General features: G+C 38.9%; 1 protein-coding gene across 13 annotated transcripts in view, besides 1 other annotated feature; it reads right to left on the bottom strand.

Moving 5' to 3' along the window:
• RASAL2 (RAS protein activator like 2) overlaps positions 1-13,033 on the bottom strand; it is a 384,747-nt gene that overhangs the window by 121,760 nt on the left and 249,954 nt on the right. The gene's annotated exons all lie outside the window — the stretch shown is intronic.
• Positions 11,732-12,300: an enhancer, noted in NCBI's record as "NANOG hESC enhancer chr1:178313926-178314494 (GRCh37/hg19 assembly coordinates)". NCBI's record gives its function as "activates a minimal SCP1, AML or CMV promoter by ChIP-STARR-seq in primed H9 embryonic stem cells {active_cell/tissue: H9 hESC(primed)}" and the evidence as "EXISTENCE:reporter gene assay evidence [ECO:0000049][PMID:30033119]".

Genomic DNA, 13,033 nt, shown 5'->3' with positions numbered 1-13,033 from the left:
ATTTCTGGAAACCAATCCTACAGAAATACCAGCACAAGCAAATGAACACAGATATATGTACAAAGATGCTTAACTCAAAGTTGGCAACTGCAAAAAACAAAAACACTCCAACTATTCAAAAGGAGGGGAACAGATAAATCTACAATGGAATAAGATGCAGCCTTTAAGGATAACAAGTATAGATATGATGAAATAAAAATGTCTTCAATATATGCCTTTATTTTATTGTGAAATATGATGCCCCACAGAGAATAGCATAAAACATAAATGTAGAGTTTAATGAATTATAATACCGCCATAGCAAGAATTAGAACATTGTCTGCAACAAATGATTCCCCAAATACTCCATCCTGATCCCAATTCCTTTCACCCTATAGATAACCACTATACCTATTTCCGGGGTAAACATTCCTTGCTTTTATTTAGTTTTAGCACTGAAATGTGCATATCTCAACATGTTTTCTTTTTCCTTTTCTTGAATTTTATATAAATAGTATAAGAAGATATACTTTTTAGTTTGATTTACTAAATATTATATTTTAAAGATTTATTAATGTTGCTGTGTGTCACTGTAGTTTGTTCATTTTACTACATGATGATGTCACTTTTTTAAAACTCATTTTACTGATTTTTTTCCAGGTTGTATCCATTTTGGGGCCATTATGGATGCTTGTTTATTCTTGTACATGCATCCTCATGTACATAAGCATGTATTTATGTTGGGTTAGCATTACTTTCAATTTTATTAGATAATGCTAAAGTGTTCTCCAATGAAACTGTACAAGTTTTTACTCCCACTAGCAATGTAGGAGTTCCCATTGCTCTATATGCTTGACAACTTTAGTATCATCTGATTTTAAATCTTAGCCAATCTGGAGATTATGTGGGGGTATCTTGTGGGTTTTTTTTTTTTTTTTTTTGAGACAGAGTCTTGCTCTGTTACCCAGGCTGGAGGAGTGCAGTGGCACAATCTCGGCTCACTGCAGCCTCTGCCTCCCGGGTTCAAGCGATTCTCTGCCTCAGCCTCCCAGGTAGCTGGGATTACAGGTGCCCGCCACCATCCCGGCTAATTTTTTGTATTTTCAGTAGAGATGGGGTTTCGCCATCCTGGCCAGGCTGATCTTGAACTCCTGACCTCGTAATCCACCTGCCTCGGCCTCCCAAAGTGCTGGGATTACAGGCGTGAGCCACCGCGCCTGGCCCCATTGTTGTGGTTTTAACTTGGGATTCCTTGATAAGGCTGAGCACCTCTTTAAATGTATACAGCCATTTGGTTATATTCTTTTGTGAAGTGCCTATTAAGTCTCTGCCCATTTTTCTATTGGGCTTTGTCTTTCTCAATTTGTCGGGATGCTTGAAATATTCTGGTATAATTTCTTTGTTGGTTTATATAGCTTGACTTTTTGCACTTTCAGTAGTGTCTTTTGACAAACAGAAGTTATTAATATTAATAAACATTATCACCTTTTTCTTCTTTATAATTGGTGCTTTTTCTATTTGATTTAATAATTACTTCTTTATCCTCAGGTCATGAAGATGCTATAATATATTCTAAAAGTGGTATTATTACTATTTGGTGTTTTACACGTAGGTCTACAATTTAGATGGAATTCATTTTTATGTAAATTGTTAAGAAATAATCCACTTCCACTTTATTTTTCCATATGGATCTCCAGATGAGCCAGGATCATTTATTGAAAAGATCTTAATTTCCCCACCACTCTGCAGTGTCAATTTTATCATAAGTAAAATGTACATATATGCACAGGTCTGTTTTTGGACTCTTTATTCTGTTCCATTGGTCTATTTCTAACACTAATACCACTTTGTCTCAATTAATATAGTTTTATAAAGAGCCTTAATAGCTGACAGAGCAAGTCCTCCTAAATTAGGTTTCTAAAAGAGTTTTTGGCTATCCTAATATATACAAATATATAGATACCTAGAAAGAAAGAGAGAAAGACAGACAGACAGGGTCTTGCTCTGTCACCCAGGCTGGAGTGCAGGGGTGTGATCACAGCTCGCTGCAATCTAGAATTCCTGGCTCAAGTGATCCTCCCTGCTTCAGTCTCCCAAGTAGCTGGGACCACAGGCATGTGCCACCACGCCCAGCTAATTTTCAAATTTTTTGTAGAGATGGGGCTTATCATGTTGCCCAGGCTTCACAAGATTTTTAAAACTGGAATTACATTGAATCTATAAAGGAATTTAGGGTAAAAGTTAACACCATACAAACCAGTTTTCCAACTCCAGAAACGTAGTATATATCTACTTTAGATTATTCTTAAATTTCTCCTAATAAAGCTTTATAGTTTACTTTTTAGATGTTTTACACATCTTTTAAAAGATTTACTCCTAGGTTATTACATTTTGTTATTGTAAACAGTATCTCAAAAAATTTGCTTTCAGTTTATTGTTGATCTATGGAAATGCAATTAGGTTTTGTTTATGGATCTTGTTATCTAGCAACTTGCTAAACTCAATGCCTGTAAAGTTTTTACTGGATTTTCTAAATGATCACATCACTTGTGAAGTTTTAATTTTCTAATCCTTACATATTTTCTTGTATTGATTGAGACCTTACTGTATTGATTACTGTATTGATTGAGACCTCCAATACAATGTGGAATAGCAAGGATAATAATGGACATCCCAGCCTTGGTCCTCATCTAAAAGGGAAAGCTTTTCACCATTACATATATTTGTCGATGGGTTTTTGTAGATATCACTAATCAGAGTAAAGAAATTCTTTTCTATTGTTGTTTTGCTAAGAGTTCTTATGAATAGTTGTTAAATTTTATTAAATGTCATTTTTGCTCAATCGAGATGATTTTAAGATTTTTCTCCTTTAGTTCATTAATGGTAAACTATTCTAACTTTCTAATATTAAATCTACTTTGCATTTTGTGTTATAAACCCAACTTTAGTCATAATGTATTATTCCATTTGCTAATATTTTTTTTAGGATTTCTGGAACTATAATAATGAGTAAAACTCCCTGTAATTGTCCTTTCATGATGTGTCATTGCTAGGTGGTATAAAAGTAGCTGATGTGTGTAGTCTCTTTTACTGAAAAAAATTTGTAATTTGAAAATGTATCTTCCTTCTTCTTTTTTTTTTGGACAGGGTTTCATTTTTGTCACCCAAGCTGGAGTGCAGTGGCACAATCTTGGCTCACCCTGTAGCCTTGACCTCCTGGGCTCCAGTGATCCACCCACCTCAGCCTCCTGAGCAGCTGGGACTACAGGCATGAGCCACCACACCCTTGTATAATTCTCTACCCTCAGGGGCCTGGAATCTGTAATATGATGGGATAGCCACTCCACTGATTAGGTTACATTACATGGCCAAGGTGACGTATAGTCACTATCATGATTACAGTTGTGTTATACTGGATTACATCATAGCCAAAAAATTAGTACTGAAGAGTTGGGCACTGCTATAAAGATACCTTAAAATATGTAAGAAGCTTTGGAATTTGGTAACTGGTAGAAGCTGGAAGAGTGTGGAGGGTTGAGAAGAAGACAGGAAGATGAGGGAAAATTTGGAACTCCCTAGAGACTGGTTAAATGGTTGTGACCAAAATACTGATAGTGATATAAACAGTGAAGTCCAGGCTGAAGAGGTCTCAGATGGAGATGAGGAACTTATTGGGTACTGGAGCAAAGGTCACTTTTGTTATGCATTAGCAAAGAACCTGGTGGCCTTCTGCCCCTGTCCTAGGGATCTACGGAATTTTGAACTTGAGCGTGATGATTTAGTATATCTGGCAGAAGAAATCTCTAAGCATCAAAGTAATCAAGATGTAGCCTGGCTGCTTCTAACAACCTATGCTCATACGCATGAGCAAAGACATGACGTAAAACTGGAACTTATATTTAAAGGGGAAATGGACAGTAAAAGCTTGAAAAATTTGCAGCCTGGCCATGTGGTAGAAGAGAAGAGCCCATTTTCAGGGGAGGAATTCAAGCAGGTTGCAGAAATTTGCATAAGTAAAAAGGTGCCAAGTACTGATAGCCAAGACACTAGGGAAAAGGCCTTGCAGGCATTTCTGAGACCTTGGCAGCAGCCCCTCCCATCACAGGCCTGTAAGCCCAAGAAAACAAAATGGTTCTGTGGGCCAGGCCCAGGGTCTGCTGCCCCATGCAGCCTCAGGACACTGCTCTCTGTGTCCCAGCTGTCTAACTCCAGCCATGGCTCAAAGGGACCCAGGTACAGCTTAGGCTGCTGCTTCAGACAGTACAAGCTGAAAGCCTTAAATACATGGTGTTAAGCCTGTGGGTACACAGAGTGCAAGAGCTGAGGCTTGGGAGCCTCTGCCTAGATTTCAGAGAATGTACGGAAAAGCCTGGATGTCCAGACAGAAGCCTAATGCAGGGCCAGAGCCCTCATGGAGAACCTCTACTAGGGCAATGCAGAGGACAAATGTGGGGTTGGAGCCACCACAAATAATCCCCACTGGGGCACTACCTAGTGGAGCTGTAAGAAGAGGGCCACCATCCTACAGACTCTAGAATGGTAGAGCCACCAAGAGCTTGCACCCTGCACCTGGAAAAACTGCCAGCACTCAATAACAGCCCAAGAGAACAGCACATGGGCTGACCTCTGAAAGGCCCACAGGAATGGATTGCCCAAGGCCTTGGGAGCCCACCTCTCACATCAGTGTGTCCTGGATGTAGGAAATGGAGTCAAAGGAGATTATTTTGGAGCCTTAAGATTTAATTCTTCTCCTGTTTGCCCCAAGAATACTTGCTGGCAAAGCTTGCAGTTTCAGCATTTACCCCAAGATAACTTTGCCACAAAACATCTCATTTTTATTATTATTTTCACACTGCTCTAGTATATCAACTTTGAAAACAAAAGACATCATTCTATTTATAGCATTCTGTTTTTAGTAGTGGTATTTCCACTTACAAAATATAGTAATTCTCGATTGCTAAAAATGTCAAATCCTAGAAAACATAGCATTCCTATGTGTGATGTTAACATCATTCTGGAACAGTTGTTGGCCAAAGATTCCTTTGATGAATTCAATTTTTCTGAAATAGACAATTCTGATGATTCAGATGATTCTGATGTTAGTTCTATTTAGAAATAACTCCAAGAACAGTTTTTATATTTTGTTTTCACACTGAAAATCAGTCAGATTTGCTTCAGCCTCAAAGAGTATGTTTATGTAAAATTAAATGAGCACTGGCAGCGAGCTGCACTTTTTGTTTTCTAAATGGGAAAAGGGCTAATGGCTGCTCTGCTGGGTTTCAGACTTGTATGGGGCCTGTAGCCGCTTTCTTTTGGCCAATTTCTCCCTTTTGGAATGGGAGTATTTACCCAATGCCTACACTTTTTTTTTTTTTTTTTCCTTGAGATAGAGTCTCGCTCTGTCATCCAGGCTGGAGTGCAGTGGCACAATCTTGGCTCACTGCAAGCTCTGCCTCACGGGTTCACGCCACTCTTCTGCCTCAGCCTCCCAAGTAGCTGGGACTACAGCCGCGCCACCACACCTGGCTAATTTTTTGTATTTTTAGTAGAGACGGGGTTTCACTGTGTTAGCCAGGATGGTCTTGATCTCCTGACCTCGTGATCCGCCCACCTTGGCCTCCCAAAGTGCTGGGATTACAGCCCAATGCCTATACTTTCATTGTATCTTGGAAGTAACTAACTTGTGTTTGACTTTACAGGCTCATAGGCAAAAGGGACTAGCCTTCTCTAAGATGATACTTTGGGTTTTGGACTTTTGAGTTAATACTGGAATGAGTCAAGACTTCAAGGACTGTTGGGAAGGCATGACTGTATTTTGAAATGTGAGAAGAACATGAGATTTGGAAGGGGCCAAGGGTGGAATGATATGGTTTGGATCTGTATCCCTGCCCAAATCTCATGTCAAATTATAATCCCTAATGCGGGAAATGGAGCCTGGTGGGAGGTGACTGGATCATGGGGGCAGTTTCTCATGGTTTAACACCATGCAACCTTGGTCCTGTCATCAGGATAGTGAGTTCTCATGAGATCTGGTTGTTTAAAAGTGTGTAGCATCTCCCCCACCCAAGTCCTGCTCCTGCCTGCATGTAAGAAGCCTGATCTCGTTTTGCCTTCTGTCATGAATAAAAGCTCTCTGAGACTTCCCCAGAAGCAGATGATGCCATGCTTCCTGTACAGCCTGCAGAACTATGAGCCAATTAAACCTCTTTTCTTTATAAATTACCCAGTCTCAGGTATTTCTTTGTAGCAATGCAAGAATGAACTAATACATCCAACCAGAGTAAGATTCTCTCACTGGCTTTGAAAAAGTAAGCGCCAAGTAGTAAGGGGGCCATGGAAATGGGACATAACAGTGGCCTCTAGAAGCTAGGAGTGACTCCTTGCCAACAGCAAGCCAAAAAACAGGGATCTCAGTCCTACCACTGCAAGAAACTGAATCCTGCTGACAACCTGAACAAGTTTGAAAGAGGACTCTGAGCTCCAGATACGAGTGTGGTCTGGCTGATATGTTTGTTTTGGCCCTGAGCAGAGAACCAGCTGCACTCTCCCTAGACTTCTGATGTATAGAAATTGAAATAGGCTGGGAGTGGTGGCTCACACCTGTAATCCCAGCACTTTGGGAGGTCAAGGCAGGCGGACTGCCTGAACTCAGGAGTTTGAGACCAAGATGAGCATCATGGCGAAACCCTGTCTCTACAAAAACAAAACAAAACAAAACAAAAAATTAGCCAGGTGTGGTGACACGCAGTTGTAGTTCCAGCTACTCGGGGGGCTGAGGCGAGAGGATCGCTTGAACCCAGGAGGTTGAGGCTGCAGTGAGCCATGATCATGCCACTGCACACTCCAGCCTGGGTGACAAAGTGAGACCCTGTCTCAACAGAGAAAGAGAGAGAGAAGGCTGGGGGACAGGGTAAATGAATGCTGTTTTCACTTGCCAAGTTTGTGGTAACTTTTTACACAGCAACAAATAAATAATATGCTAACATTAAAACATCAAGTTTGAGTAAAACAAGTGATATGAAAGAACTAGTGAAGAAGATTGCTCTAGAAGAATCCAGAAATAAAACTAAACACATGTGTTTTAATGGTTCAGAACAGGAAGAACAGCACAGGTGGCAGAGCTTAATCTGAGAAGATAAGACGGGCATGTTCAAGAGTATGTCATGTTTGTAGTTTTGTAAAGACAAAGAAGGATATTAACATTTATTAGGCGTCTTCCATTTGTTGTATTGGATATTTTCACATTTCACAATGATGAAAAAGCTGTTATTTTTCGTCCAATATAACAAGGAATTACACATCCTTTAAAAGTCCAAATACATATTTTTAAAGCAAAATTATATTAAAGCCAAAGTATGGAAAATTCTTATTAAATTTGTATCATCAACTCTTTAGTAACTATATGTAAAAGTTAATGTGTTAAGTACGAGTACATATATATCTTTTTATATATATTACTATTATAAAATATTTTCAATTAAGGTATGACTAGATTAGTGTTTTTATACAGTAAGCTCAGAGCTTTAGAAAGCCTAGAAATTCTATTATTTACATGATGAAATTTTGTTTTGAGGATACATCCACAAGCCTAGTTTCCCAAATGCTTTCCTCATCTAACCTATTCAATGACCCCAAATGTAAAGTCCTTGATGGCACACATAGACTGGTGAACTTTCTTTATTTTATTTGGAGACCAAGTCTCACTCTGTCGCCAGGCTGGAGTGCAGTGGCACAATCTCAGCTCACTTCAACCTCTGCCTCCGGGTTCAAGTGATTCCCCTGCCTCAGCCTCCCGAGTAGCTGGGACTACAGGCGCGCGCCACCATGCCTGGCTTTTTTTTTTTTTTTTTTTTAAAGTAGAGACAGGGTTTCACCATGTTGGCCAGGACGGTCTCGATCTCCTGACCTGGTGATCTGCCCGCCTCAGCCTCCCAAAATGCTGGAATTACAGGCGTGAGCCACGGCGTCCGGCCAGACTGGAGAACTTTCAACATGAAAATAAACCTGGTGTCGGGCCGGGCGCGGTGGCTCAGGCCTGTAATCCCAGCACTTTGGGAGGCCGAGGCAGGTGGATCACGAGGTCAGGAGATCAAGATCATCCTGGCTAACACGTTGAAAGCCCGTCTCCACTAAAAATACAAAAAATTAGCCAGGCATGGTGGCAGGCACCTGTAGTCCCAGCTACTTGGGAGGCTGAGGCAGGAGAATGGCATGAACCCAGGAGGCGGAGCTTGCAGTGAGCCGAGATCGCGCCACTGCACTCCAGCCTGGGCGAGAGCGAGACTCCATCTCAAAAAAAAAAAAAACCAAAAAGAAAAGAAAGAAACCTGGTGTCCTGCTCACATTCTCCATAAACAAAAAAGGACTTTTACAGAACATCACTTCCATCAACTTGGAAGTTGCCTAGAGTTTTTTGTTTTTGTTTTGTTTGTTTGCAAACTGGAGCGCTTATAATAGGAATATTTTCCTTGAACTTTTTACTGAAGTATAACATACATGTAGAAAAGTGTACAGGCTGGGCGTGGTAGCTCATGCCTGTAATCCCAGCCCTTTGGGAGGCCAAGATGGGAGGGCTGCTTGAGGCCAGGAGTTTAAGACCAGTTTGGGCAAGATAGCAAGACCCCATCTTTACAAAAAAATAATTTTAAAAATTAGCCAGGTGTAGTCGTGTGCACCTATAGTCCCAGCTACTCAGAAGGCTGAGAGGTGGGAGAATCACTTGAGCCAAGGGGTTTGAGGTTACAATGAGCTATGATTAGTTGGGCCATTGCACTCCACCCTGGTTGACAGAGAAAGACCTTGTCTCAAGAAAAAAAGAAAAAGAAAAAAGAGCAGTGTACAAATAACATATGTACAGGTCAATAAGTTTTCACAAATGTAATTCATGCTAGTAACCAGCATCTGAATCAGAAAACAACACCACCACAGAACATCACCAGCAGCCAGAGGCCTCTCTTATGTATCCTTGGCAGTTATTACCCCCATAAGGATAATCACTATCCTGATTTCCATCACCCTAGATCAGTCTGAACTCTATATAAATGGAATCACTCAGTGAGTATTCTTTTGAGACTTTTCATGCTCAACATACATTTGTGAGGTTCATGCATTCTGTCACATGAAGCAGTGGTTTGTTCTTTTTCATTGCTGTATAGAATTCCATTTTATAAGCAAACCACAATTTATTCATTCTACTGCTGATGAGCATTTGGGTAGTTTCAAATTTTTAGCTGTTATAAATAGTGCTGTTAAAAGCATTTTTGTACAGGTCTTCTGATGAACCTAGGTATACATTGCTATTGGGTACATAAATAGGAGTGTAATTGCTGGGTCACTGAGCATTGTTCAGCTTTAGGAGATATTGTCAAATAGCTGTTCAAAGTAACTGTACAAGTTTACACTCTCGTCAATATGGTATGAAAACTATTTTTGTTCCAGATACTTATCAACATTTGGTATTTTCTTTTTTCTCATTTTAGACGTTTTGATGGGTATGTAATCCTATTTTGGTTTAAATTTGCATTTCCCTGATGACTAACAATAGCTGCACACCTTGTTATATACTAAATGGTCATCTGGATTACCTCTTTTGTAAAATGAGCATTCCAGTCTTGCTTTTTTCTCACTGATGTGTAGGAGCCTGTTATATATTATGATCAAACGTTAAAATTTAAAAATTTATTTTTTCAGACTATCAGAGAAAATGTAACATAAGCAACATCTGAACTAAATCTGAAGAGCCTTAAAACAGTTTCTATTCTCCCGTCACACAGGTCTGATAGGGGGAAAGAGAAACAAAAATTCTACCTTTAAATATTTAATTCAAGAACAAAGTAAAATGAAAATGGGTTTATAATTTCTGACACTGGGAGAATTTCTACTGGGAAGCTGTCATAAATCACAGCACTTTATGGCAATAGTCACACCCTTCAAGCTCACTATTTCTTGATAATTAAAATTTCACCGTCAAATACATTTTGCAATTTGTTCACAGTAAGATAGCTTCTGAGAAAAACAGGTAAATCATTGTTTGGATATTCCTTTTAAAAAAGACCAGATGAAAGCCTGGCTTCTGGTTTTAAATACCCTTCCATTAAAAAAACCAAACAAAACCAAAATAAAGCAGTGTCATCAAGTGTTGACCTAAACAGTTCTACTGAGGCACTGGGGACAAACAGCTATACTTCCACTAGACTTCTACCTTTTATATTACAATAAATTTCCTCTGCCTAGTACATTTTGATCTTGCATAAGCTAAAAAATGTTTACAAGGGAGACTAGTTTTCATTCCTTGTAATGATAGCAGTTAACTCCTAGGGTTTCTTCTTTATACTATATTTTTGGTTAATAAAAATGGTCTATACCATTTCTCAGAGATGAGAAGAGAATGGTAAGGTGTTTAATTGATTTTAAAAAGCTACTTTAAAAAATTATCTTTAAAAGTTGATCACCAATCATTTTCCAAGTGCTGTTTTTTATAGGGGAAGGAAATAAATAAAACTTAACATACTAAAAGCATATTTCAAAATTTCAGCAATTATACCCCAGCAAGTAAATGATGCTACTCATATAATAGCGTATTTATTGTTTCAGGAAACTACAGTGACATTTCACTGGACTTCAGGTGGAGGAAAAATGCTTCAAGGAAAATATCAGGATGTATATAGCGATTTCTTTTCTTTTCTTTCTTTCTTTCTTTTTTTTTTTTAAAGATACAAGGTTTTGCTCTGTCACCCAGGCGGGAGTACAGTGATGTGACCATAGCTCACTGCAGTCTTGATTCCTGGGCTCAAGCAATCCTCTTACCTCAGCCTTCTGAGTAGCTGGGACTAGAGGTGCATGCCACGATGCCTGGCTGATTTTTAAATTTTCTGTAGAGGGGAGGTCTCACTATGTTGCCAGGCCTGGCCTCAAGCAATCCTCCTGATTCAGCCTCCCAAAGTGTTGAGATTACAAGTATGAGCCACTGAACCTGGCTGATGTGGCAAACTATATGAAAGATAAAATATTTCAATTAATAAAAAAACTCCTTAAATTTCAGCTGTACAATAGAGATTCATAAATAAAGCAGGCCAAATACTGTGTGATGCAATTCCTCTACCACATGTTGAAAGCATTGAAATAATCTATTTCCCTTTGTTTGAGGGATTAGTTTCCCATACTTTGAGAAAATACTGATAAGAAATATTCTATAATCATACTGGACACACTCTTCGAAATGAGCTCTTGGTACACAGGAGATGATTATCCTTCCCTGTTAATAGACTTATCACATCTTCCCTTGTCCTTTGACTGAACAAACTCAATTCTATGTACTCACACAAGCTAGATTTTTGGTGGCTCTTCTTGCACTCATTTTGACAAATCACTTCTCTTTGTTATTTCACTTCACTTATTTACCTGAAACTTCATATTCCAGGTATTCCTGGAAAGAAGAGTGATTGAAGTAGGGACCCAGACATCTTACCTTCTCTGATCTGACTCGAGAGGCACACACAACCCACTTGAAGTATTTTAGCAAAAAAGTTACAAACCAGAATCTTAAAAATGGAAAGAATACCCATTTTACTAATCTTCATATAAACTAAAGGTAGTATTTACGAATAGTTACACAACAGTGCTGTTACAACATTTTTCAAAGGTACTCCGTAATCTTTGGAATTGGATTCAGGACATCAGTTAGCAACTTGTCTAACAGGCTAGCTATCCTAGGCAACACTTGATCCTGAACGACACCTGCTTTATTCCAGCAGCTCAAGTTGCTTATTTTCCAAGATCTGACATTAGAAAGAGCAAGCAGAACCAGGTATCTTTTCTTCTTCAAAGAATAGGGCTGCACAAACCTAAACTACTTTTTCAAGGTGTTTTTCAGCAACTCATTTACTCAAAAAATATTGCAAACCTGAGAATGACAGAAATGTGGAGTTCTATAGAGTCGTATTATTAACAGGATCTCCTCAATGGTTCCCTCTTCATGTGCTTGAGTTAACAGTATTTCCAATTCAGCTTAATGACACGGTTTGAGTAGGGGCAAGGAGGGTACCAGAGAGGACAAAGGCCTTCATCTGAATTTTAATCACTGACTCAGTAAGTCTCTCTTACTTGTCAAGTATGTACAAAGAAAGTATTCTGAGTGGCATTGCTTAAGGCTTCCAAACACAAGCTGAGATCATACCCACAATTAAATGTGGAATTTTGATAGATGGAATTCCCATCAGCAGTTAAAAATAACCCCGGCTAAAAGAGAATTCATATCGCTGAGTCATGACTCATTTTCTTGAATCATTGTCCACTAGGAACAACAGGACAAAAATTTTTGCTTCTGATTCTGCATATAAGAATCAGTTATTTTAAGAAAGTTTATGCAACTCAAATATAAGAATCCGGTGAACCTTATTTCACAATACAATAGTCACCTCCTTCTCCTTCTCACTACAACTGATATACAGGGAACTGAAAACAAGAATGACCATGAACAACCACTAGGGAGCGTGAAACAACAGAAGAGAACAAAAAGAGTCTGTAACAAACACTTTTCCTCTTTAGAGACTGCTGAAGGTCAAGACTGGAGCAGAAGGGCAAACACAATCGTGTTGTCTACATAAAAGGACTCTTGGAGTCTTGGGTGGATAACTGGGTAACTTTCATGAGTAAAGAATTAATTTGACATCTCAGAACAATTTATATGTCCAGCTTCAAGTCCCTGCTCCTGGCCCCTATCTTTTGCCTTCATTTTTCTTTGAAGATATTTCATTCTTGGGGATTTAACTGGGACACATAACATAGAATTATGCCCAAGAGGTAGAAAGAAATTGCAACAGCAAAGAAAGCAGTTCCTTTCAATGAGTCAAAAGTTTTGATCAACTATAGCCAAATCTTTTTCAGAAAATGTTGTCATTACATAGCAGAGCTCTTTACCTTCTTTGAAAATTTAATATATAAACAATATTTATATATAGATTGTTCATGGGAAAAAATTTTAAAACAGTATCAAGGAGAAAATCATGAATAGTGAAAATAGGTCTGCCTTCAAGAAAACACTGGTCAAAAGAAA

Source organism: Homo sapiens, chromosome 1, assembly GCF_000001405.40.
Source record: "Homo sapiens chromosome 1, GRCh38.p14 Primary Assembly".
Taxonomy (NCBI): domain Eukaryota; kingdom Metazoa; phylum Chordata; class Mammalia; order Primates; family Hominidae; genus Homo; species Homo sapiens.
This window is presented reverse-complemented; position numbering and strand designations above follow the sequence as displayed.